Here is a 27227-nt window from a genome sequence, read left to right as displayed (position 1 = left end):
GAGGTAGTGTCAATGGGCAATGGTGGCCACGTGGCCTTTGAGTTATGGTCTGACAAGCTCTCTGTACACCTGCCAGGGAGGGAGGGCAGGGTGCTCTCCAAGTCGCACCTTATTAAATCCTCACAACACCTCGGCAAGGATGCACCTGCTTTCCCAGTTACAGATCAAGAAACCGAGACTCAAAGAGAGTAAGCAACTTGCCCAAAGTCATAAAGAGTAGAGATGAAGTTTGAATCCAGGTCTGTCTGCTTTCTTTCATCTTGATGTCTCTCTGGGAAGGACTTAGCTGCACAGGAAAGCCTGGGATGGATTTGGACAGGGAGGGAGAGGAGGCAAAGTCAGTTCTTTTTCGTGGCGAGCAGCCTTGGTGTGATTGGCAGGTCAGAGCTCAGGGGATCCAGCTGAGGCCTTGGAAGAGTTCTCTAAGGAGCCAAGGCAGAAATGTGGAAGTAAGAGAATTTGTCCAACAGGAGGTTGGGATGTCTCTGATCCTCTCTCTTCCTCAGGGTGCTGGGCACAGTAAGACGCCTTGGAAACAGAAGTAGGTTGAATGGAGTGACCATGCTGGGGTGAGGGTAGTACAGGGGCCCAGGCAGAGAGCAGGCAGCTTCCTTCCTCCTTCCCCATTCAGAACCCCATCCCGTGCTGGAAGCCTGGATCCTCTGGGTTTGGGGCCACGCTGGAAGGGAGTGGAGGGTGTTCCCAGGGCTGGTGGCCACAACCAGGCTCTCCCAAGCAGCCTTGAGCCTCTCCCTGAGCTCTGCCACCAGTAGGGCTGTTACAGACCCCAGCTCCTTGCAGGAAAACTTAACATTCACACTGCGTGGAGCTGTCCCAGGGCCGCCCTCACAGGCGAGCTGAGAGGTGGTGTGGAGATGGTGCGAGATCCCTCTGAACAAGTTGGGAGCTTGGATTCCTCCCCTGGTGCCTGGGGGAGGGGACGCCAGGCCCAGACTCTCAAGCTGCCAGGCCTCACACAGAAGGGGGGACCCCTGGGTTCTCCTCTCCCCCAGGCCACACCTCTAATGGCCCCCTTCATGTGCACGCTGGCCTTTGTCCACCAGGCCCTGTTCACTTGGCTTAAAGTTAGCAGAGGCCCAGATGGGGACATGGCAGGGAGCCATCTGGTCTTCTCCCAAGACTCTCAGCCCCCCACCCTCCCAATGCCTCAGCCTGCCTTGTCCCAACGACCCCCTGCTTCTCTCTCCCAAAGTCTTTATCCGTGTTTACTATCTGTCAATTAGGCGGCCTCAATACTCTGCACATGGAAAGCCAGCCAGCCAAGCGTGGTAATCCCTCAGCCCCCTCCCCACGCCTCTTTCCCTCTGGGTTAGGGGAGAGGGCAGGAGGAGGAAGGCAGTCTGCAGTTTCCCCTCCAGTGAAAAGTGGCCGTGGCATGATCTCTGTGGTCAACATTTTCTCCCTCACTGCAGACCCCTCCCAGGCCACAGCTGGAGTGGGCAGAGGTCGGGGTGAGGAGGGACGGCAGCAAGCAGGTGCCTATGAGTGAGGGGTGGGCAGGGGCCAGAGGCGTGGGGTGAGGCTGCCTGACTGACTCAGGGCCTGGCTCGGTTCGCCTTTCCAGCTGGAAGTGTTCCAGGCCACGGGCAGGTGTGTCTACTGGCTCCTCCCCATGGGAGGGCCAGGCTCAGCACATCCCTCTGGCCACTCTGAGGCCTCCATCCATGTAGAAGGAAGAGGGAAAGAAAGAATGAAAGTGGAAGAGGAAGGAGACAGGGTGAGAGGTGGTGCAGGGGGACTGGGGACAGAGGGTGTGTCCCAGGAGGGGCCTCTCGTGCCCTCCAGTGACAGCATCTGGATGCCTGCCGTGGACCCCTCCAGCACCAGGCACCGACCCACACTCCCTTCATCCCAGCCTCAGCTCCAGGAAGAGGAGGGGCTCATCCCTACGCTAGAGCTGAGAACACTGAGCTCAGGGAAAACACTCGGCTGGTCCTTGGCAAAACTTCTGGCTCCATGGTTCTTCTTCCTCCTCAGCCTCCATCACAGCCCAGCGCCTCCCCACCAGGTGGGGAATCCGCCTTCTTGAGGGACACAGGCACTCTGATTTCAGGCTCCTATTTGTTCTGGAAAACAAATAGTTTTGCTGCAGGGATCACAGGAGCTGTCCTAACAGCTTCCCGGGGGAGAGGGCCCAGGCTCTGACCATCCCCAGGGAGCGGGTGGAGCACAACAGAGGCACAGAAGAGCCACAGATTGGGGGTCGCAAGCTCTGAAAGGCAACTTTTCTCAGGAGAGACACAGTGGCTCAAAGGGCTCAGCAGTCAGAGACACCAGCCTTTGAGTCCTGAACCCCACTTACTAGCCACCAGTTTGAGCAAGATGTTTAGCCTCCCCGTGCCTGCAGTTCCTCCCTCCTAAGGCAGGGTAGGTGGTAATGGTGCCTACCCCGTGGGGGTGTCCTGGGAGGGTGATAGTCCAGGTAAAGCCTCCAGAGCCCTGCCTTAGACTTGAGGGTCCCCACACGTGCTGGTGGAATCGATCACTTTTGTACTTTCTCCCCCTAGGCTGACCTCTCCCAAGGCCCATGCATCACACCAGGCAGGAGTTTTTTCATCTGCACACAACACGGACTGGCTCTGACTCCCAGCTGCCCTCCAGGCAGGAGGTGGACTCCCCTGCTTTGTTCATCAATGTCAAATGTCCCGGGTTCTTTCAAGTGAGGGATAAACCCCATCTAAGAGGACAGGAAAAATTCCAGTAGAATTACTGGCTCTAAAGCCAGCATGCAGGTCTGAGGGGAAGGCGGACAGCTGGCAGGGCAGCTAGTTTATAGGCTTGGTCCCCCTAGAGTCTCCCTTTATCCCAGTCAGTGGTGGCTCTGATCCATCCCATAAAGCCCCTACTCGGAGGGCGGCCTGCCCCACAGGTGCGCTGCTCCAGCCAGGGTGGGCTGAGACCTGGTCCTTCTATTTGAGGTAACAACTTGGTGTCCTGGCCTGCTGATACCCTCTCAATATCTCTTACTTCTTTTTCTAGAGAGGGGTTGAGCACAGAGAGAGGGGTGGAGGGCCAAGTAGGGTGGGGTGGGAGTGGCAATGGGCTTCTAACACACAACCACACCCAGAGAGAAAGGCCCTGCTGTTAACCAGATTGTCATCTTTGGCAACCAATGGATGCTAGAGGTCTCAATGCCTTCCTCCACCTCAGAGTGTTTGATCAGAGTCTTCTTTTTTAGAAAAAAAAATTTTTTTAATAGAGACGAGGTCTCGCTATGTTGAGCAGGCTGGTGGAAGTCCTGGCCTCAAGTGATCCACCCCCTTTGGCCTTCCAAAGTGCTGGAATAATAGGCATGAGCCACTGCGCCCAGCTATAGTATTCTTTCAACCACAGACAGTAGAGTTCCTACGAGGAATTCCAGGAAGCTGATGTTTTTCATCCCTTCCACCTTTATCAGAATGGATTTTAAGTCCCTTACAGTCTGGAGCGCTGGCTAACAGCTGTTGACCTGCTTCTTACTCCAGCTCTGGTTCCAACAGTAACACTGGCTCCTCAAACTTCCAACCCAAGGAACGGTTTCTGCCAAGAAAATGTGCCTTAGGAGATGAGACTACCAGTGGAGCAGAATTCCGGCAGTTCTCCAGGTATGAGCTCCCAGGAGAAGGGACAGTGTTGAGTAGAGAATCCAACAGAAAGTTTGTTTTTTGGAAGGACAGGACTGGCCGATGCTGAGAAGGGAGGGGAGTAGGAGAGGCGGGAACTCCCAGCACAGACCTCAGCCACTTGACCTGTCACCCCAAAGAGCTGGTCATGCCCCGGATCACGTTCCATCTCCCAGTGGAGAAAGGCAGCCAGCCACCCTTGGAGGAAAGCATCCATGTAGCCACCGATGGCGGGGAGAGCAGTGTGGGGAGTCTCCTCTATTTGGAAGAGGAGACATAGTTGGGTGGGTGGTTCCCTGGCCTTATCAGGCCTCTGCAGTCCAGCATGGAACTGGCAGAGATGGGCCATCCTATCTCCGCCCTGCTGGGCTTGGCTCAGTCCCCTTTAGACAGAGGGCTTTGCCCTCTCACCCCTGCACTCCGTGCCACCCTGCTTCATTGACCCCACTGGCCTCCAGACCGCAGCCAGCTGTAGTGGGAAGAGGAGTGGGCTGACTCTCAAAGTCAGGGGTGAGGACAGGCATGGCGCTGCCTGGGCTGGGCAAATACTGGCAATGGCAGAAAGCAGGAGAGGTGCTTTGAAGGGGAGTTAAGATCCAGAGCATTTAGAGGCAAATTAAACAGCTCTTTTAGAATTCACTCAGCTGGGGGTATTGATCACAATTCTCCCTGGTGGCAAAATGGACATGGCTTAGATAAGTCAAGGTAGCACATACTTGGGAATGCTTTCCATTTTCCACTGAGGTAGGTGATGGCACAGCTGTGGCTTCAGGCTATGTACCTGACATACTCTGACACTAGTGATGTGACCTCGGACAAGCCGTATCTCCACTTAGTCTCACTTTCCTCATCTGTAAAACTGAGAAAAAGTTTTCATGAAATTAAACCCAGGCCAGGCATGGTGGCTCACCGTTTAATTCCAGCACTGTGGGAAGCCAAGGTGGGTAGATCACTTGAGGTCAGGAGTTCGAGACCAGCCTGGCCAACATGGTGAAACCCTGACTCTACTAAAAATACAAAAATCAGCCGGGAGTGGTGGCACATGCCTGTAGTCCCAGTTACTCAGGAGGCTGAGACATGAGAATTGCTTGAACCCAGGAGGCAGAAGTTGCAGTGAGTCGAGATTGCACTGCTGCACTCCAGCCTGGAGGACAGAGTGAGACCCTGTCAAAAAAAAAAAAAATTAAACACAATAATGTATGTGAAGTACAGAGCCTAGGACACACAAGGTACTCAGTCATTGTTCCCTCCTTCTGAAAGCACCTTTCCATCATTTTCCCACTTGACTAATCTGATATTGAATAATTGATTATTATAACCCATGGTGGTTTTAAAACATGTTCACCGATTTTTTGACACTCTTTTCTTCAAAAGGTGGAAACTAGTGTCCCTCCCCTTCGATTTGGCTGAACTTAGTGACTCGCTTCTAATGATTAGAATGTGGCTGAAGTGCAAGTGTGTGTCACTGTGGTTTCTGCTTTGTTCTCCCTTGGATTGTCTGCCGCAGGGGCTGCCTGTCACGAGGGCACTCAAGCTGCCTGCAGAGAGGCCCATACGGGGAGCATCTAAGGTCCCGCCAACAGCTGGCACCAACTTGCCAACCATCCGGGAAGAAGACCCTCCAGCCCCAGTCAAGCTTGCAAATGGCTGTGGCTCTGGCTGATGTCTCAACTGCAACCTCTTGAAAGACTCCAAGCCAGAATGTTCCTGAATTTCTGACCCCCCAAGACTGTGAGATATATTAAATGTGTATTGTTATTTTAAATTTCTACGTTTTGATTTGTTACATAGCAATAGATAACTAGCATGTATCCTGTTGCCTTCCAAAACGGTTTTGAAACTGCATATAGGTAAAGTCATAGCTCTAACTAAATGAAAAGCTATTAGAACAGGATTTAAAAGAAGACAGAGAAATAATAAATGTGGTAGGTATAGGGAGGAGCCTGGCTGTATTAGAAAACCTGGCTAAAGACAAAACATAGCTCTAGGCTCCTTGCAAGCCAGGGCAAAAATGGAAACTTGATGGGTCACATTAAAACTTTTTGTGGCGGTGGTGGTGACTCTGAATGAGGATGTGCATTTGACATGTGGACCTTTAGGTACGCAGCATCACACCGTCTGGTGGGTGGTGCCGAGCAGACACTCCACCTACTGTAGATCAGACTCTGCGTGTTTGAAATGGTAAATACAGTAGTGCACAGTTCACGTATAACCGTGCACCTTCTGACAGTTTTCAGGAACTCCTGGCATCATAAAAATAGAAAAAATATATTAATACACACATACATATTCAAAAGATATAACTTTTAACATAGGTACTAGTTTTTGTTTGTTTGTTATTTCTTTTGAGACAGACTCTCACTCTGCTGCCCAGGCTGGAGTGCAGTGGCGCGATCTCAGCTCACTGCAACCTCCTCCTCCCCGGTTCAAGCGATTCTCCTGCCTCAGCTGCCCGAATAGCTGGGATTACAGGTGCCCACTACCATGCCCAACTAATTTTTGTATTTTTAATAGAGATGGGGTTTTACCATGACAGCCAGGCTGGTCTCGAACTCCTGAGCTCAGGTGATCCGCCCACCTCAGCCTCCCAAAGTGCTGGGATTACAGGCGTGAGCCACCACTCCCAGCTCATAGGTACTAGATTTTTTAAAAGGCATAAAAGGGTTGATAGTGGAAAGAAAGCCTCCATTCCACCCATCCCCCACAGGCCAGTTTCCTTTCCCGTGACCAACCCTGTGTGATTTCTGGCTTAGACTTCCAGGGATATTTTATACACATACAAGCAAGTCATATAAATTGTTTTCCCCTTCATTATACTAATGGCAGCATACCATAGGCATTGTTCTGCACTGCGAGCTTTTTATTACTCCATATTGACATGACTCCAAGTAATATCTTCCCCTAATTATCACAATTTTTGATTTTCTGAGTTTCTACTGTTTCATTGTTCAACACTGAGATATATAAAAAAGTTGGTGTTGTGGCTCATGCCTATAATCCCAGCACTTTGTGAGGCTGAGGCAGGAGGATCACTTGAGGCAAGGAGTTTGAGACAAGCCTGGGAAACATAGCCAGATCCTGTCTCTACCAAAAACACTAAAAAATTAGCCGGGCAAGGTGGCATTTGTCTGTAGTCCTAGCTACTCAGGAGGCTGAGGTGGGAGGACTGCTTGAGCCCAGGAGTTCGAAGCTGCAGTGAGCTATGATTGTGCCACTGCACCCTAGCCTGGGTGACAGGGAGTTCCTGTCTCTTAAAAAATTATATATATATATATATATATATATATACACTCACACACTCATATACATACATGAGTTAATATATACATATACACACACATATAAGAGTTAAGACAATAAAAGGCACTTGTAATTCCTCCAGGAAATCACTGTTAAATCCATGCTGTTCGAGTTAAATCCATGCTGTCTTCCCCTTATAAATATGAATGTGTACTGCGTTTAATTTTCAAAGTAAAATTGGCACCAAAGTGTAGAAATAATTTTACAATCTGGCTTTTTTCCCCATTTACTATACATACTTTCCCCCCTCCTCAACCATTATATTGTGAGTATAAGCAGGGTTTTCTTTTCTTTTCTTTTTTTTTTTTTGAGACGGAGTTTCCCTCTTGTTGCCCAGGCTGGAGTGCAATGGTGCGATCTCAGCTCACCACAACTTCCGCCCCCTGGGTTCAAGCGATTCTCCTGCCTCAGCCTCCCGAGTAGCTGGGATTACAGGCATGTGCCACCATGCCTGGCTAATTTTGTATTTTTAGTAGAGATGGGGTTTCTCCATGTTGGTCAAGCTGGTCTTGAACTCCCGACCTCAGGTGATCTGCCCGCCTCAACCTCCCAAAGTGCTGGGATTACAGGCGTGAGCTACCGCGCCCGGCCATATGCAGGGTTTTCTTAAGAAGCACAGTTATTTTTCTTAATGTTCTGCCAGCACAGGACCAACATGAACCTGCCTTTTCTGTGTCTGCTCCAGATTGCTGAGAACAGCTTGGTCTAACCTCTGTTACCAGAGCATCCCCAAGATAGAAAACTTGGTATCTGCAAGACACCAAGAAAACCGAAATTGTGAAGCATTAAGCTTGTTCACACAGGCTTTCCTAGATTTCCAAGATGAAATAGCCAGGGCCACACAGCCTGCAGATGACCAGCCCCCTGTGCCTCCTCAGCTTTCAAGGGGCAAAGAGAGCTAAAAAATTCCTTTCAACAACAGCCTGAAAGGCGGCTGCTTCCACTGAACACATCTTAGAACCACAGTGACTTGTCTGTCATATTCCTCTAGAATTCTCCAGGAAGCTGCTTGCAGTCTAGGTATTCCCATTGATCTTGAAGCTGCTGCTCTAGACCATCTTTGTCTGGGGGGAGTCATCATCATCTTTTAATCCATCACCTTCTCAAGGCACAAATCATACTTCCCAACAATGGGGTTTCTTACTGGAAAAGAGTAAATTACATAACTTATCTGTCCATTACTCATCTTCTGTCCTTTTTCAAAGAGTAGAAAACTGGTCACAATTCAGCAAAGAATTCCGTAAAGAATAGGAATGACAAATTTCAAGTGGGTAACTGTGAGAGATAAGCCAGCCATTGTTTAATCTGTCTCCTAATATGCATTCTCTTCTAGCAGATCGAGATAGAGAAAAGTGATAATACAAACAATACCAACATCAGTTGAGGGCTTCCTGATACTAGAGTCCGTGCTAAGTTTTTTTTGTATATTATAATCTTGCTTAATTCTTATTACAACCCTAAGAGTTTAGCATAATTATTATACCCATTTAATAGAAAAGTGAAGAGGTAGGAATCAAACTCAGGTCTCTATGACTCTAGAGCAATAATGCCTTACTATTGGACAAAGAAAAAAAGTGCTACAACAATTTCAAATGTGGAAATTTCAGGGTATTATTGGTGTAATTGCTTAATGAGATAACATGCAGCATATCATGTGTCATAGCTATTCTATCATCAAATTGAGTGGGAAAGAAAACACAAGCCCAGTATAATGTAATGTTTTATTTAACTGACGCCAGCTGTCCCCAGAGATCCACAGTAAACTAAGATGATGAATAAGATGGCAAGTATTTTTGGGAATCAGGGAAGTGGAAGTATAAACTCTCAAGTTTGATTGCTTAGGTTTGAACCCCAGCTTTGACACTAACAGTGTGATCTTGGGCAACTTCTCTAAGCTTTAGTTTTCTTCTCTGTAAAATGGAGATGATAACAATCTACCTCAGAGGTTTGTTGTATTAAATTAATGCATCAACTTAAAGTACCTGGTGCTCAGTAAATTCTAGCTATTACATTTTACTCAGGGTTAAAATGTGCCAACAACCTCTATCGATGGCAGCAGCCCTCAGTAAAATAAACAATTAGTGAAGACCCAATGGACAATACATGAATTAGAAAACCACACTGCTGATCAGAATAGTGAAAGTGTGCTATCACTATTCATTTTATCAGCATGCTTGTAGTAGGGTTTGCTAAGACCAGCACCCAGTCTTTTATCCTTTTCACATTCCCAAAGTTATCCTTGGCTACCTAACTGAAGTGACACTGTGGTGCTCTGGAAGGCCCTCTGCACCCTAGATTAGCAAATGCCAGTGGGGATGCGAACTCTTTCTCACCTAGAAGCCACTTTAGCCATGAGAGAGACAAGTTGGGGAAGGCTTCTGTGATGTTGCTGCAAGCTCTAATACCTGATTTTCCTACCAGCTGGCAAGAAGGCTGCACTCAGTGAATAACCTGGCATAACAGTTAGAAACAGACTTAAGAGTCTGAATCCACTTACTAAGTGGTGAAATGAGAAAAATTCCTTAGCCTCTCTCTAAACCTGTTTCCCCCTTTGGTGGATAACCATATAGTGCATGATTGAGGATTAAATGAGATAATGTAATTAAAACATGTAGTACAAAGCCTACATGGTAGGCACTTGATAAACTGTAGCTATTATTATTATTAGCTTTATAGATCAGACTAATGGCTCCAAGGAGGATTTTCACCCTAAGCCACTTCCTGACTTTCACTATTTAAGATATATGAGAACATCTTTCTGCTATGTACATGTTATTAACATGTCACCAACATGAACAGTGTTGTCCCTTGTGAGCAACAGAAAGGAAGAATCTATTTTTGGCCATGCATGGTGAAGGACAAAAGGATGAACAAGGTATATACAGTCCCTGCTTTCCCAGAGCTTATGATCTTGTAGGGGAGACAGATGCATAATCAATAATGCTTACAAGACAGGCTAAGTATGATCCTGAAGTGCTACTGGAGTTTGGTAAAGGAAGAAGTCATTTTGATGAAAGGAAACATCCTCTATCAGTGTGCCCAGGTGGAGAAGGGTGCTTGGAGAGCTAAGGCGGTCACTGGGAGGGTATATGTCTTCTGCTGGGTACCCAGGTTGGGGAAGATGGGGTGGGAAAGAAGGCTGGCTTGCCAGGTGGCAGGGCTAGGTGTTCTATGGACAACTGTGGGAGTAGAGGACTGGATGACTCATGCAGCTGGCTCCTGAGTCCCCCAGATGATGACAGATTGGAGCTGCTACAGGTACGGTCCTAAGGAAGCCATTCTCTCCGGAAGCAGGTTGGAGGAGTGAACTGAGAGGTCATTATTTGGGTGGATGTGGCAAGACAAATCAGAGAGGCCTCTGACTCAGTGGCAAACGGCTATTGCCACAACCAGAGGGTTATGGAGGACGCCATGTGGAATCGAAGGTGTTTTGCCAGCATAAAATCATAGCCTCATTTTTTATAGGAGGAGGAAACACAGACCACTGTCTTCGATTCTCTTCTATTCAATTAGTGTTCTTGAGGTGCATCTTATAGTGACTCCTGGTAAGAGGGTGGCGGGGTTGGGGGCGGGGAAGGGCAGAGACATCACTGGAGCTAAATTTTTCTATAGTGAAACTGCCTCCCGATTGGAAAATTAGTTCACAGGAAACATGGGGCCATCTTCACAGCGAGTGTTTCAGTAGCACTTGGCCTTTGCTTATTCATCTTTGCTAGTCCTCAGGTAGGTTCTGGTGTGAAATATTAACTCATTCCTGCAGCCACTCTTACGTGGCTGTCTTGTTATCACACAGGGTTGCTTCCATTGTGAAAGCCATGTCAGGGCCCTTCCCTGTCTCTGCAGTGTGCCTCTCCCACAACGACTAGGGCCACTTGACCGACTTACCTGGCTGTGGTGTCCAGGACTAGTCCTAATGAGGCCAGCGGAACTGAGGTAGCTCTAGCTCCTGGCTCTGGGACTCACTGGGCACCAAGCCAAGCCTGTCCCCAGGCCAGTCCTGACCTTGTCTTGGCTCTGAGCACTGCCTGGCTTCTGGAATTCTGAGCAGTATTGTGTACCTCAGTTCTGATAACAGGATTCCCATCTGTCATTTTCCTTCTATCCGAGTTCCTGTCTTGAGGAACTGCTAACTATACCCAGGCCCCTTAAGCCTGAGGTCCTGCCATGATCTTGCCATTACCCCACAGGAAGTAGAGGAAGCGCTGCTCTTAGAGCTAAGCCTGTGGCTGGCACTCCTACACATGCTACTGGGCTTCTGCCATCCTGCTTTCTTACTCCAGAATCCTGACTGGGACTCCCACTTCCCTGATGCAGACCATTTACCAGACTACGCTTTTGGCCGATGGCTATGTTCTCGAGGCTCCATGTTTCACTGGCTGGGCTGGGCTTCCTACTAGCTCTCCAGCTCAAGCTGTTCCCCCAGTGCCTGACTTTGCTCAGTGAGTGGGTAGAATTCCTGAGCTTGCCCCACCCAGCCTGCCCTGTTCCTCTGCAGTTAATTGACCCATGCTCAGCTTGGCTTTGGCAAGTACATGTGCATATACCCTTGCTCAATATTAACTTAAAGGTCAAAATGGAGACACACGACCATACCTACATATCAAAAAATTTCATATTTTGAAAATATGTTCTAAAGTAAAACACTATTTTAAAAATAATTTAAAAACAAAACATCTCAATTACCACACAGGATATTTTAAATTAAATAATTTAAAAGGCTTAAGATACCCAAACATCCGGGTGCAGTGAGTCTTACCCCTCCCCGCGATGTGGACCAGTAGATAATATTTGGGATACAGTCTTGGTTATCCTAATAGCCTCAAATGACCTTTATTTCAGTTGAAACAATTGAAGCCAACATTTCCAAAACAGAAATCAGGTAGGAAGAAATGTTGAACTTTAACTCCTTAGTCCAGCAAACACCTTTGGAAGAGACTGCCTGTGCATGCCAACAAGCTGGCTGTATCTACATGTTCTCTCATAAAACTAGGAGCTCATCTACTCTGAAGTCAAAGTCTAGCAAGCCAGTTGCCACTGAATCCAACCTCTACAGCATTACTCAACAGGAAAGGGGTGAGTTATAGCACGCAACAACTACTTCCTCCCTAGCTCCTGCTTAGTGAAAATCTTCAGAAGCTATTGCTTTTGGAAAAAAAAAAAAAAACAATTAGTTTAGATCTTGACTGTCTATGAAAGAAAATGGTCTTCAAGGAAGGACAGAACACAGCCAGAAAACCATTGAGAAGAGTCTAGCAGAACTGTAGCTCCAGGTCCAGGCTGGGGACTGTCACTATATTTGTTTTATAAACCCAGAAAAGATAAGTCAGGAGTACCAGAGGGAAATCCAAAAGAGCCTGCCCTTTTTTTGAGATGGAGTCTCGCTCTGTTGCCAGGCTGGAGTGCAGTGGCACAGTCTCGGCTCACTGCAACCTCTGCCTCCCAGGTTCAAGCGATTCTCCTGCCTCAGCCTCCCGAGTAGCTGGGACTACAGGCGTGCACCACCATGCCCAGCTAATTTTTGTATCTTTAGTAGAGAGGGGGTTTCACCATGCTGGCCAGGATGGTCTCAATTCCCTGACTTCGTGATCCGCCCGCCTCGGCCTCCCAATGTGCTGGGATTACTTGGGCCCGGCTGAGTCTGCCTCTTAAGGCCTGCATTTTGCTGGGTGCAGTGGCTCATGCCTGTAATTCCAGCACTTTGGGAGGCCAAAGCAGGTGGATCAACTGCCAGGAGTTCCAGACCAGCCTGGCCAATACGGTGAAAACTTGTCTCTACTAAAAATACAAAAAATTAACTGGGCGTGGTGGTGGGCAACTGTAATCCCAGCTACTTGGGAGACAGGCGGGAGAATTGCTTGAACCTGGGAAGCGGAGGTTGCAGTGAGCCGAGATCATGCCACTGCACTCCAGCCTGGGCGCGACAGAGTGAGACTGTCTCAAAGAAAAAAATAATAATAAAGCCTGCATTTTATAACTGTACTACTTCCTAATTTCCATCCCTATCTGCTAGGATATGTTATATTGCTTTGGGAAATCCAAGTTTTTCTCAAAAATTTCAAGTCTAAATATCAATCTGAAGGGACACTGTTTGGTCTAAGAAGTCCAATTAACACTCTGCAATGGTCTTTCTATAGGGCTGACATATTTACCAGCTTTTTGAGTGCGAGTCTAATATAGACAATGAGGAAAATCTTGCCTATAAGTCCTTTCATCTGGTGCTGCAAGTTTGTACTACATATTGATTCTGCCATTTCATAAACACTTTTTAAAAAATCCTAGAGTTTCTTAGAAATCTAATATTCTTCAATACACGTTCAAATTAGATGAATAAAACCAATGCTATTAAAGCATGTTGTTCAGCAAGGAACGAGTATTTTGCCTCGTGACAGCAGTCATATAGCACTGGAGAGGTTTTCTTACCATCAGAAGCAAGGTCAGGACCGACTCTGGAGAATGACAAAACCGTTTGTGTAAAAATAAAATCTAGAAACAAAAAGGCAACTTAGTAACTTTCACGGGACGGGCATGGTGGCTCACGCCTGTAATCCCAGCACTTTGGGAGACTGAAGCGGGTGGATCACCTGAGGTCAGGAGTTCAAGACCAGCCTGGACAACATGGTGAAACTCTATTTCTACTAAAAATACAAAAATTAGCCAGGTGTGGTGGTGGGCACCTGTAATCCCAGCTACTTGGGAGGCTGAGGCAGGAGAATCGCTTGAACCCAGGAGGCGGAGGTTGTAGTGAGCCAAGATCGCACCACTGCATTCCAGCTTGGGCACAGAGTGAGACTCCATCTCAAAACAACAAGAACAACAAAAACCCCCTTCACCACAGCTTCAGTATAAAGACTTACCCAACCAGAAATTATATAGGCCTTAAAAATAATTGTGGGCCAGGCCTACTTCGGGAGCGTGAAGGAGGGTGAAAATTGTGTCATGGCAGCTCTGAGTCCATGGAGTCAACACCATGAGCAAGGATCTCTTTCCTGAGTTGGAAAAATGAATAGACAAGAATTATTGCTGGATTTAACTGGTGACAGACATGTCTAAGGAATATTGCAGGGATTTGATCCCTTTATGAATCTTTTGATTGATGGATGTGTGGAGATTGCAACTAGTGGGTAACAGAATGATATTCCTCATGGTGATATGAGGAAATTGTATCATGTTAGAAGCCTTGGGATGAGTATAAATCAAGGCTGTTTTGCAGAGAAATCCATGACCTCTCCCCGAAGGGCCTATTTTACTATGACGTAAAAATTGGATCATGTATATTTTCATACTAAACTTTTTGTTAAATAAAAAGGAATTGTGGACTGGATATATATCCATCTATTTTTCTGCTAGATAAAAAAAGCTTTTTTTTTTTTTTTTTTTGGTACAGAATATCAAAATGTGCCCGTTTGTCACTTGAAGTGTAAATGGCATTTAAAATATTAGAGGTTCCAACAGTAAAGAAATCAGCAACTTGAGACAATACTGTAAAGACTCATGGAGCATCTAAAAACTTGAAACTTTAGGAAACAACTATGGATAAATAATAATTAGGCTTGGTCTTGCAATGTGTTTCTCTAAACTGTTCCCGTAATAAAGTTCTAAACATCACAATTTGCAGTAAACTTTAGAAAATGTATCTATTATCTATTTTATCCATTCGTAGGTTATGCCCTGATGGGTTTCCAAGGAAAACTGTGGTATGACAAGCATGAAATGAAGACTTGAAGACCTTTTCTTGAATCCGGGCTTAGCGCCCCCATGAAGTGTATGACATTAGGTAAGCACCAGCTCTCAGAAGGATAATTCTTACAAAGTCAGAACAAGATAACCAGGCTATAAGGAACAAATAAAATAATCTGGTATCTATAAACTTTCCTCAACCTTAGACTGCACCTAGCAATGCATAATCAAAATAGAGTTCTAAATCAAGCCCAAAAATACTTCGAAGGAGTTCCCTCAATGAACTAAAACTAAATTTAGATCCACTATTGCCCCCTAATGGTCAGCTCTTAGAAATGAAACCCCTTTGAAAGTAAGAGTATGCAAATTCAGGGTTTTTTTCTATCAAGTTTCCCCAAAAGGCTTCTACATTGTTTTTCTCCAAGACAGACCATCTTCAATTACACTCATTTAAATAAAATTGTAGATACAGTGTATTTCTGATCTTTAAAATGACTTCTGTAACTAGATTAAGCTACCTTTTCTGGTTTTAAAAACATTTTCCTTAGAATGTTTCTTCTGTTTCCAATAATGGAAATCAAGAAGAAAAGAAAAAGAAAAAGGGCTTCTTCTCAAGTCTCTGCTGCATCTTAAGCAAAAGTATGATAACTTGTCTTCCAGGTGTCATGGTGTAAGATTTAGGAGCTGGTTCTTTATCCTAAAGGTTGCTATCACCACAGGTCATTCCTGCTTCTCAGGTATCCACCAATTTCTTCATTCTTGAGGTGATTTGTTAGGGAAAAAAGTCTTCCAAATCAAAAGTCAATGTTTGATCCCAAATCTACTTATATCAAAATACAAGTTCACCGTGGCTTGACTTACAGTCCAAACTAAGATAACTGCCTCTTCCTAAAAACCATGGAAATGTACTGCAGCCACACAGGGTCTGGCACACAGATGGCATGAGTAATTATAGAAGTCTGAATCTCTATGGGTGGAATCCTACCACCTACTTTTCATCTTCTACAAGCCTTAGTTTCATTATCTACAAAATGGGAATAATATCATCTACTTTGTTGGGATACTGGGAAGGCCAAATGAAGTCATATATGAAAAGCATTTAGCCTAACGTTTGGTACACAGAAGGCATCAACAAAAAATATTATCGGTTAGCTCCTTAGTAAAAAAGAAAAAAAAAAGTCAATTATTGAAGAAGGCATTGTCTTGTCACTCACAGGTATGAAAACTCTGAGGTGTCATATCCTATCACAGCCTCTGAGAGCACACCACAACTTTCTATGTGTTCTCCACTGTGGGTGATATCTGTAATGAGACCTGCTAAGGAAACAAAGTCGAGAACGATCTACTGAGGAGAATAAACAACAAAGGAAATGCCTTCTCTTTCAAGTTCTGGGTATTTCACAACAAACATGGTGCCTACAGACTAAATAGGGAAGTTCAGTGCAAGGAATGGAAACATTGGATTGTTAGATCTATTACTCCCTCTAGTGGCCACAAACAAGACTGTTTTTATCAAAATCCCAGTTTGGCCAAGATTGCAACTTGGATATGTGTATGTATCAACCTTGAGTTTGAAAAGAAATAACCAGTCTGTATTTTCTGCCTATGTGGGGGGGAAAAAGGGGCCTGATGTTAAGAGAAGCCAGTGCTGTCACAAATTTTATCAGTTTGGTTTTTATTCCCTGAATGAAAATACTAATCAATGAAGAAAAGGCACATGCGAACTTTTCTACTATATTGACTCTCAAGTGAGAACTGAAGATAATCGCCTTTGTTGCTTTATGAAAGGGAATTTTGAAATGAGCATCTTTCTAAAATAGCAATTTTTTACCACAGGGTGATTTACAAGCCAAGGTAATAATTAAATATGCCCAAGACTATGACTATTTTTCTCTGACCAAACCCTTCATTTTTATAATGGGTAATTATAGTAAAAACTTCAATTAACCAGAGCCCTCAATTAACATGTTATCCTCCTCTTGTACTGTATTTTTAGGGCAAAGTAGAAAAATAATCACAAGAAGTTATTCATATGACAGATTTAGTTTGAAAATCTAGATGTGTTATCTAAGTAGGAAAAAAAACCCTGAAAAATTACATTCACACCATAATATATAAAAAACACCTACATATAAATGATATATATATAAATATATATAACTAGATAATAGCTGGAAGGGAATATAATTTTTTTAAATGTGAATATGGACCAGACATGGTGGCTCACGTCTATAATCCTTATGATTTGAAAGGCTGAGGCAAGAGCATCACTTGAATCCAGGATAACACGGTGAGATCCTGTCTCAACAAAAAACAAAGAAACAAAATAGCTGGGTGTGGTGGTGCATGCCTGTAGTCCAAGCTACTTGGGAGGCTAAGGAAGGAAGATCACTTGAGCCCAGGAGTTTGAGGCTGCATTGAGCTATGATCACACCACTGCACTCCAGCCTGGGCGACCATGTCAAAAAGGAAAAAAGGCTGGGCACAGTGGCTTACACCTGTAATCCCAGCACTTTGGGAGGCCGAGGTGGGTGGACTGTTTGAAGTCAGGAGTTCAGGACCAGCCTGACCAACATGGCAAAACTCTGTCTCTACTAAAAATACAAAAATTAGTTGGGCATGGTGCCGCATGCCTGTAATCCCAGTTACTCAACAGGCTGACGCATGAGAATCACTTGAACGTGGGAGGCGGAGGTTGCAGTGAACCAAGTTTGTGCCACTGCACTCCAGACTGGGCAAGAGTGAGACTCCGTTTCAAAAAAAAAAAAAAAAAAGTGAATGTGATAAAATTGTGAACTACTTTCTACTCTTTCTGCTGTTTTTCTATTACATTGTTATTTGTACAACAAATACATTAAAAATCAGAGAGGTACATATCCTGCAACATCTATTCTACATTGATAGAGGCTGCCATACCCATTATCAAGAGACAAAACAGGTCTCTCAGGGAATATCTCCTCTAACATAAGCTGAAAAAAGACAGGTTTTGTATATATATATAATTTTCAACTAATTTGAAAATATATTTATCAGGACATTCTTTATTCAGAAGCATCAATAACTTACCAAGTTTCACTGAAGTATAAAACTCAACAGACCATGAATAGGCTAAGTAACCACCTGTGAATGGAAACCTCATGATACAAGTCCGTATATTTAAAATACTGTTTATTTGTGATTTAACATTAATTAGCATTACATCTAAGAGCAATATCAGATAACATTTATACATTTTTCCACAGGACACAGAGGTTCATTGGCTCATTCTTTATGCCAAAGCAAGTAAATAGAGGCATTAGCAAAAGGTGCAATAGTTCACTGTTATGTTTAAAAAATATTTATGCACATTGCATTCATTTAGATATATATATTTTTAAAAAGTTATGGAAAAGCATAGTTCACAGGTTACTATTTCTACATACATTGTAATACAACATAAATGATGTAGAACATTAAAAAAATCTTCCAATAGAGAGTTAAGCAACTGAAAGTTTCCACCAAGAGATTAAAACACTGATTCCAGTAGTTAGTGAGATCTAGAATGACATTTCCAGGCTCTGGCTCAACTCTGCATTATCATATGCACACAAACAGAGCCAGCTCCAAAACACACTGTAATCAATGTAATTTTTTGCATGCCAACTCACCCTTAAGAAACACTTTGAGTTATTTTTACCCACGATCATTCTGGATCATTGATTTTGCATCGAACTGTGACATCACTTGGGTGAAAGGGGAAACGCCTATATTAAGCCTAGGTTTAAATTTGTATTTACATTAAAAAGAAAGGTCACTGAAAAGATTTTTTTAAATCTGTAAAAATCAAGAAGTGGTAGTTTTCTTACTGGTGGGATTAGACCTGCTGATTTCTTCTAGTGCTGCCCTCTAAAGATACAAAAAATTAGAAAGATTTGACCCTTTTAAAACTCAAATATCAACCAAGAAAGACATTGCTTTTGGCAGAGAAGCAGAATTTTAGAAATTTGGGACATGTTTCCAACAAATCACACTTTGTATCCTATCGTGAATATGAGTCACCATCAAACTAGAATTCTTCTTTTCACATCCCATCTTTTGTCCCCTTAATTTTTCACTTTCCCTTTCATTCTTTTTCATTTGGCTACCTTATGAGACTTTTCTTTACTCATTAGCAATACTAAGAGAAAAATACAGTTTAAGATTCAAATATGAATCTAGATGTACCTTTACATGCTCTAATCCTGTTTTAACACCAAGTCCCTGGATTCTGGAGTTATATTTAAGTATACTCAGTACCAAGCAGCCTTAAGTATGCTCTACTGTGAAAAGATTGGCTAATATGCTTAGGACACTTTTATACTGAACGGTATACAAACATCAACATACAAAATTTTTTTTTTTTTTTTTGCCAGAGTTAAACTAAATAACCCATGTTATGTGTACAAAATCCCCTTTGTTGAAAAATAAGGGGCTTTCTAAACTAATAAAAAAGGAAGTTTTCAAAAATTATAGTTTATTAAAACAACTTTTTTGGCAAACAAAGTTACTTCAGGTGAGGAAATTTTATACTGTGAATAAAATTCCAAATGAATCTTTTCTTAAAACTTTTTAAAAAATTATGTGCCAGTGTATACTAATGCTATAGATTCTTGTCTTAGAAGTTTTTAAAGCATTCTGTTAATGCCCACTGAAACAATGGGACTCCAAAAATATAGTCAATAATCATGATAAAAAATTATAATATGATTATCAAGTGAAGCAGGTATTGAGAAATAAAAATTCTCACTTGCTCACTGGCAATTTCTTTCTAACAGATATTATGGAGAAGGCCTGAAGTAATTCAGACAGATAGCTGTTTATGGTGAATTATAATAATACTTCATGAGGGCAGAGCTAATTAAAACTAGTAATTGCTTAAAATTCAAAGCCATTTCTGGACATATAAAATGAGAGATGAATCTGAAAGTTTTTCTTTTGTAAAACCTCTTTCCAGTTCTTAAAGTCCAGTTTGCTACATCCCCCAATCTGATCTACCATTGCATATTAATGATCAACTTAAATGTGGTATTTAGATGTGCAATGTCACATTGTTATAATAATAATTATAAAAAGACTTTATTTAGGCCTCAACTTTCTCCTTTTTTTTGTTCTTTTTCAGAAAAGAAGGAGTGCGGAATTTCTTCTTTTTCTTGGATGGCGATTTTGAAGGGGAGCCTTCAGGTGACAGGACTTCTTCGATTTTCTCTGGAGACTTAATAGTAATCTCGATGTTTTCTATGGTTGTACTTGTGCTTAACCTACTCACTCGCTTAGCAAGCTCATCTTCAACATCATGCATATCATCCTTGCCATTTACTACCATGACAGGCACTTCCATGGAGATGAAGCTCTTGGAAAACAGCTCATGGTTTTCTACGAAAGGGGAGGGTTTTTTGGGGGTTATTTTACATACTTAACATTTTTGCTCTACTTTACAAAACTGAAATGTTTTAGCAATGTAATAAGGCATTACTTTGATTCCAATGAAGACAGATCATTATTTTAATAAACTGTGATCTATTAGCAAGAAGCTAATTTTCTTTAATGATATAAAGGGGAAAGGAACAAAGTTGTTAAACCAAAGAGCAAAAGCTAGATAATCCCAGTTTGATGAAATAACAGTTTCATTGTAAATCAATTAAGTATAAATGAGGAAGACAACATATTTTTCTCTAGTTTTGGGATCATTTGGCAATCAATACTGAAAAAGATTTCATGCTGCTGATTGGGAGATGTTTAATTCCACAAATTCTTTTTTTTTTTTTTTTTTTTTTGAGGCGGAGTCTCACTCTGTCGCCCAGGCCGGAGTGCAGTGGCAGTCTTGGCTCACTGCCAGCTCCACCTCCCGTGTTCATGCCATTCTCCTGCCTCAGCCTCCCGAGTAGCTGGGACTACAGGCGCCCGCCACCACACCCAGCTAATTTTTTGTATTTTTAGTAGAGACAGGGTTTCACCGTGTTAGCCAGGATGGTCTTGATCTCCTGACCTCGTGATCCACCTGCCTCAGCCTCCCAAAGTGCTGGGATTACAGGTGTGAGCCACCGCGCCCAGCCAATTCCACAAATTCTTAAGAACTGCGGGTTGCCAAAATTCAGATTAAGGTAAATCAATATAAATGCTGAACAAAAGTAGCGCCCCATTTTTAATGATATAAAATATGTAATTATTGGGAGATATAAGTAAAATATGGAAAACTTACTGTGATGAGGTATTCAACTTCCTCACGTGAAAACAAAACACAGAGGGACAGACTCAAGACTAACTCAGTGAATGCTATGTGGGAAATTACATTGAGTACCTTCTAATTTTTCAGGGACATTTTGCGGTGACTGAGTTTGAGACTGAATTTGTGAAACAGATGAAGCGTCATCTGAGAGTAATTCCTGCTCAGCATCTGTTGGATAAGAGTTTAGTTAAAAGCCATGCAAAACAAAACAAAGCAGCATATGATTTTAGGGAGGTTAGTGCATACATCAAATGCCTGTATACAAAGAGATGATAAATTCTTCAGCAGTGAGCTGAGCATGCTAACAGTTATCCCATATATCCATAATTATACATTAAGAGGAGGTTAATGTGTTAACATTTCTGGCTGCTAATGGTTATTTTACGTACAGGTTACAAAAGATGCACAGCTGCTGGCAGCCCAGGCAAATGATATGTTGCATGTAGCTCTTGCTAGCATTAGAAAACCAAAACATACTGCGCAGACAGATGAAAAAAATTATAAAGCCTCACCAATGATGCTACATTAATGAGGCAGAATGCTTCACAGAATTTTTGAACAATATTTAATTAGTGATACCTGTCAGAGCAATGTTACTGAGCTAATTCATAAGGTCATAATAAATGTGGAAGAAACTACTATAAAGTTATATAAAAAAGGTGACGGTTCTAGAGTGCAACATTTGTTACCTGGCATCTTTAGGCTTTCAAAAAACAAGAGATTAAAGAGGGATATTTTACAAAATATGAAAAACAGAGAAAGCTCCCAACTTTATGTTAGAATAAACAAATTCAATAACACCATTTAGAAAATTTAGTATAATTACATTAATGAATCAGGACAACTCCCTTTTGTGACAAAGGCACAAAAAACTGTTCCTTGGATGATCAAGATGTCATTAGTTCTTCCTAAATGATATCTAACATGGACAAAAATTCATTAACTATTGGCTTATTTTGCTTTGCATGAAAATTTCAACTGTATGTTGTGGATGCTCTAAAGCAGAGGCTCCTTACCCTCTTTTTGGGTGACAGGCTTGTTCCTGACCCTGAACCCTTCCCTCCCTAAATGTGTACCTTAAACAATAAAGCATGTATTTTTCAGGTGGCTCATGGACTGCCTGAAGCTTATCCAAAGACTCAAGATAGAGAACTCCTGCTAGGAAGAATCTCTTATTCCAGAGAAAAAGGGAGCTAGTAGTCAATTGTTTAAGATGTTTTCATTAACAAGTCTTAAATATAATCCTAACAATCTACTTACTAAGGGTTCCAAAGCCAGAAAACTCAACCTACTAGAGTGTCCGTGTGCTTAAGGAAAGTCACATCAAAATTTTAGCAGTTAGTTTTAAATTTTGAAGTGACAATGTTGGCACCTTGAGATAACCAGAAATAGAGATTTTACAAAGCATCAAAACTACATACTTATGAATCTGTAATTATTTAAAATTAAGAGAGTTAAAAAGCCACATAATTATGAAATGTTTAAATCCATTAATTTATCTACATCTACTTTGGCTAGTAATTCTTTACTCATCTGGGAATCTCACTTTCTAGAAGATTTTACTATAAAATAGTAGCATTCAGATTGTTTTTTTTCTTTTTCTGTTTTTTTTTTTTTGAGACGGAGTCTCTCTCTGTCGCCCAGGCTGCAGTGCAGTGGTGCGATCTCAGCTCACTGCAACCTCTGCCTCCCAGGTTCAAGCGATTCTCCTGCCTCAGCCACCAGAGTAGCTAGGACTACAGGCGTGTACCACCATGCCCGGCTAATTTTTTAATTTTTAATAGAGACGGGGTTTCACCATGTTGGCCAGGCTGGTCTCAAACTCCTGACCTCAAGCAATCCACCTGCCTTGGTCTCCCAAAGTGCTGGGATTACAGGTGTGAGCCATTGTGCCCGGCCACACTGACTGCTTTCTATCATCCAACGTGAGGTACTTTATTGTTATCAGTGTGGCTTACCCTAGGTTGAATGTAAAGATTAACTAACCTTCTAGGCCTTGTTGTTTACGTTCGATTGTCCTCTTATACTCTTCAAGTTCTCCTTCTGTGAGATGACTAAATGGGTTAGGAGGAGCTGGTGGGCCATGATCATCATCTTCAAATTGCATAGTCTTACAAAGAAAAAATAAAAATCGATTCATTACCAAGAGTTTTACTTATATATCTATCCATCCATCCATCTATATACACATAAATGCAAATATGATGTTTGTGAAGCCTTATTTCACAACAATCCTAAGAAATGCAAGGTAACATGCTTTGTTTAAAATGCTCTTGTAAGATTGATGCCCTTAAACTACTAATCCAATGGACTAAAATTGCCAGTGATATTTCCTCAATAAGCCTGTATAAGTAAATCTTAATAATTTTTAAAAACCATTATGCCAAGTTCTAATAAGTTTCACATAAAAAAAACTTGAAAAAAACAAGAATTGCTCCATTTTAAAGACCACTGTAAAAAAGGCTTACAGAAATGAAACTGTACCAAAAGTAGTTCTTTAAATCTGTTACGAAAATAAGCTTGTAGCTGTTTTCTCCAGGAAAGGAAATAATGAGAATTTCAGTTGCAGTTGGCATATGGAACCCATGTATTTATTTTTCATCCCTCCCAAAACCCCACTAAAATGATAGTAAAGGAATAGAAAAAAACAAAACAAAACACCCTTAAGGACAAAAGAATGTGAGATGAAACAACAAAGGATGAGAAATGTTAACATATTTTTGGAAGCTGGAATGCAAGTGGAACAGCAGGTAGCAGAGCTGAGAAAGTTGAAGCCTCAGTCCTGAAAAAAAGGATGCAAATGAGAAGCATGCTTATTTGCCCTGAAGAGGTCTGGTAAGGCCCATAAACTAGAGGCAATAGGTACCATAGAAGGTGGTGGTAAGGAAAAGGTGAAAATAGAGGAACATGTTCAAAGTCTGAATAGGAAACAGATTCCCAGGTTCCCTTCCCTATTCCACAGAGCCAAGCATTTCCCTCTCTCTCATCTCTGCAGAAGATCAGAGGCTTGAGAAAGAAAAACTAGGCTGGGCGCGGTGGCTCACACCTGTAATCCCAGCACTTTGGAAGGCCAAGGCGAGCAGATCACCTGAGGTCCAGAGTTCGAGACTAGCCTGACCAACATGGAGAAACCCTGCCTCTACTAAAAATACAAAATTAGCCGGGCATGGTGGTGCATGCCTGTAATCCCAGCTACTCAGGAGGCTGAGGCAGGAGAATGGCTTGAACCCGGGAGGCGGAGGTTGCCGTGAGCTGAGGTCACGCCATTGCGCTCCAGCCTGGGCAACAAGAACAAAACTCCGTCTCAAAAAAAAAAAAAAAAGAAAGAAAGAAAGAAAGAAAAACTAACTAGGGGACACAAAATACAGTTGCAGGCTCCTAGAATGATGGTTGGAAACTGGCAGGAGACTGGAGTTCTTTTCCAGATAAACTAAATAGTCCCAGATAAAAGAATTACAGAGAATAATGTTTGGGGATTCCCCAGAGAAACAACCTGGTCCACATCCAATCACCCTACAGTGAAGCCCACCAATCCCCGAGCTCTGTGTATACCCAGAGCTTCTGATATGCTTTAATGTCTCATTCTTCCATATAAACAGACATACGGAACAACTCAGAATAGACAAAGACAACAAAGGCAAATGAAGAAAATTTAAAATTGATACCCTTAGAGCAATAAGAGAAAGTGTAAAGATCAGGATGTTATTAAAAAGGAACATTCAGGGAATAAGAACTCTTATTAAAAATAAAAAAGTTGGCTGGGCGTGGTGGCTCACGCCTGTAATCCCAGCACTTTGGGAGGCCAAGGCGGGCAGATCACGAGGTCAGGAGATTGAAACCATCCTGGCTAACGCGGTGAAACCCTGTCTCTACTAAAAATACAAAAAAAATTAGTCGGGCACGGTGACAGGCGCCTGTAGTCCCAGCTACTTGGGAGGCTGAGGCAGAGAATGGCGTGCACCCAGGAAGGCGGAGCTTGCAGTGAGCCAAGATCGCGCCACTGCACTCTAGCCTGGGCAACAGTGCGAGACTCCATCTCAAAAAAAATAAATAAAATAAAATAAATTAAAAAAGTTAACATCAAAATAAAAAATTAAAAGGGTTAGAAAACATTCTCCCAGAAAGTAGGATACAAAGATAAAGAGATGGCAAGTAGGAGAGAAAAGAAAAAAATCAGAGGCTCAAAGAGGCCCAACATCCAAACTAACATAATATACTGACAGAAAAAGAAATGGGAAGAAAACACTCTTGAAGAAACACTTTTAAAAAACTTCCAGAACTGAAGGATATGACTCTGGAGATTGAAAAGGGTTACTAATTACTTAGAAAAAAGACTAAAAAGAGATCAGCACACAATCATAAAATTTCAGAACAGCAGGGATGCAGAAAGGGTCTAAAAGCAAAAAAAAAAAAAAAAAAAAAATCCTAAACAAAGGTTCAGGAATTCCAATGCCTTCCTACTTCAACAATAAAATAGGGAACAGAATGATGCTTTTCTTATTTCAGGGGAAAATTATTTCTAAACTATTCTATATCCATTATATGCACATTTGAAGATAGAATAAAGGCATTTCAGACTGTTACCACCTATGTATCCTTTTCTCGGAAAGCTATTAGAGGGTGCGTTCTACAGTAAAGGAGGAAATCAAGAAAGCAGAAGACACAAGATACAGGAAACGGAATACAATATAGATCAGCAGCACAGGAATCCTCCAGATGAACCTGTGCAGCTGGCCTGAGAGCAACCAATTTAGATTTGGATCAGAATGAAGGGGGGCTGGAACAGAGAGATTACCTGTTGACTTTCACCCTGTGGAAAATAATATTAGGACAGATTTTATGTTATTCTTATTTTTTGAGACGGAGTCTCGCTCTGTCACCAGGCTGGAGTACAGTGGCATGATCTTGGCTCACTGCAACCTCTGCCTCCCGGGTTCGAGTGATTCTCCTGCCTCAGCCTCCTGAGTAGCTGGGACTACAGGTGCACGCCACCACGCACAGCTAATTTTTGTATTTTCAGTAGAGATGGGGTTTCACCATGTTGGCCAGGATGGTCTTGATCTCTTGACCTCGTGATCTGCCCGCCTCGGCCTCCCAAAGTGCTGGGATTACAGGCGTGAGCCACTGCACCCAGCCGGGACTTTATAATTCTTTTAAAAAGTTCGGGAAGAACTAAGCCAATGTACCCCAAATAATAAGCCAATGAAAAAAAGGCAAGGTGAGAGTAGGGAGGGGTGACTTATGTAAGAAAGGAAATACTACCTGGCTTAGCAGCAAACATGTAGTAATATAAATAACGAAAGCTGATCTAACAGAAAAAAACAAAAAACAAAAAACAAAAACTGTGATGTATCCTTACTGGGAGAATGGGGAGAGGGAAAAAGGGAAGCACTGTATAAACAGGCTAAATCCCCATCTTTCAAAAATATTTCATTAATTCTAAGATGAACTTTTTCCATCTCTGAAATTGGGAACAATTATAATTGGCAGTGTTTTTTCTCTTTTAGTGACATATAAAACAATGGTACTTCTTATAACGGATAACACAGATTTGATGAAAAATAGTCAAGGTCTAAAACTGATAGACCAAGAAAAAGCAGAAGATGCTCTTTAGAAACATCAAAGGAGGACGAGGAGCAGTGGTTTATACCTGTAATCCCAATACTTCAGGAGGTCAAGGCTGGAGGATCACCTGAGATCAGGTGTTCACGACTATCCTGGGCAACAGAGTGAGACCTCATCTCAACTAACTAACCAGAAACACCAAAGTAAACATTAGAAGCAATGAAAAGAACAGAAAGTTGCTGCACCTGGAAACTGGGAATTGTGGGTGACATTTTAAATCTTGTGAGTTGACTTTTTAACTTGTGCTTATATTAACCTTAGTAAAAATAAATATTCATATTTAAAAATCAATGAAATTAATGTGGTAAATAAAAAACAAAGATCATACTACTTCATAAACTTACAGAAGGTGGCTTATCCACAACAATTCCAGCAAGCAACTGAGATTGTGGTCCTGCTGTTTTCAAGTCATATCGATTTTGTTCCCGAATCTGAATTGAAAAACAATTCAATATAAAGTTCTTGAGGGCAACTATGCAGATGACCTTTGCTTTATCTTTTCATAAAAGCTTACTACTTGACATTTCCAGAGTGAGAGTCTCTTCAATTCCCACCTCCATAAAGACCTCTTTTACCATCCTAACAACTCATATTAGTCTCCTCTGCTCTTTATGGCAAGTTATTTCCTTTCGTCTTAGGTTGTTAGAGAACTGCATTTTCCCCCTAATAGCAGGGTTCTCTAACGCAGAAAAATGTTCAATACATCTTCCCCATGTAGCCTGTTCACCAATTACTAGCACAGAGCTGGAGGCATTCAA

The 27227-nt window shown here is 42.5% G+C and overlaps 1 protein-coding gene, 1 long non-coding RNA gene and 1 pseudogene across 32 annotated transcripts in view, besides 3 other annotated features; 2 read left to right on the top strand and 1 right to left on the bottom strand.

The window, feature by feature from the left end:
* Positions 192 to 1184: an enhancer, noted in NCBI's record as "H3K4me1 hESC enhancer chr10:111911891-111912883 (GRCh37/hg19 assembly coordinates)". NCBI's record gives its function as "activates a minimal SCP1, AML or CMV promoter by ChIP-STARR-seq in naive H9 embryonic stem cells {active_cell/tissue: H9 hESC(naive)}" and the evidence as "EXISTENCE:reporter gene assay evidence [ECO:0000049][PMID:30033119]".
* Positions 1185 to 2179: an enhancer, noted in NCBI's record as "H3K4me1 hESC enhancer chr10:111910896-111911890 (GRCh37/hg19 assembly coordinates)". NCBI's record gives its function as "activates a minimal SCP1, AML or CMV promoter by ChIP-STARR-seq in naive H9 embryonic stem cells {active_cell/tissue: H9 hESC(naive)}" and the evidence as "EXISTENCE:reporter gene assay evidence [ECO:0000049][PMID:30033119]".
* LOC105378479 (uncharacterized) lies at positions 1337 to 5970 on the top strand. Its single transcript, NR_164121.1, has 3 exons — positions 1337 to 2029; positions 3486 to 3605; positions 5131 to 5970. It is a non-coding gene; the product is annotated as an uncharacterized LOC105378479 (long non-coding RNA).
* Positions 13891 to 14103, top strand: SNRPGP12 (small nuclear ribonucleoprotein polypeptide G pseudogene 12; annotated as a pseudogene).
* Positions 17752 to 27227, bottom strand: part of ADD3 (adducin 3) — a 139193-nt gene continuing 129717 nt past the window's right edge. For 20 of the 31 annotated variants that reach the window (NM_001320591.2, XM_047424588.1, XM_047424590.1 and 17 more), the window contains 4 exons: positions 26814 to 26900; positions 22831 to 22954; positions 20917 to 21012; positions 17752 to 19991 (listed from right to left, as the gene is read on the bottom strand). In NM_001320591.2, coding sequence (NP_001307520.1) covers positions 19699 to 19991; positions 20917 to 21012; positions 22831 to 22954; positions 26814 to 26900 — 600 coding nt within the window. In that variant the 3' untranslated portion in view covers positions 17752 to 19698. The remainder of the gene's footprint in view (positions 19992 to 20916; positions 21013 to 22830; positions 22955 to 26813; positions 26901 to 27227) is intronic. The other 11 variants (XM_047424595.1, XM_024447806.2, NM_019903.5 and 8 more) reach the window with 1 other exon arrangement.
* Positions 23392 to 23686: a silencer, noted in NCBI's record as "tiled region #905; HepG2 Repressive non-DNase unmatched - State 15:Elon". NCBI's record gives its function as "represses a minimal TATA promoter and a strong SV40 promoter by Sharpr-MPRA in HepG2 cells {active_cell/tissue: HepG2}" and the evidence as "EXISTENCE:reporter gene assay evidence [ECO:0000049][PMID:27701403]".

Source organism: Homo sapiens, chromosome 10 (genome assembly GCF_000001405.40).
Source record: "Homo sapiens chromosome 10, GRCh38.p14 Primary Assembly".
Classification (NCBI taxonomy): domain Eukaryota; kingdom Metazoa; phylum Chordata; class Mammalia; order Primates; family Hominidae; genus Homo; species Homo sapiens.
Note: the sequence above shows the minus strand (reverse complement) of the source record. Positions and strands in the feature narration are given on the sequence as shown.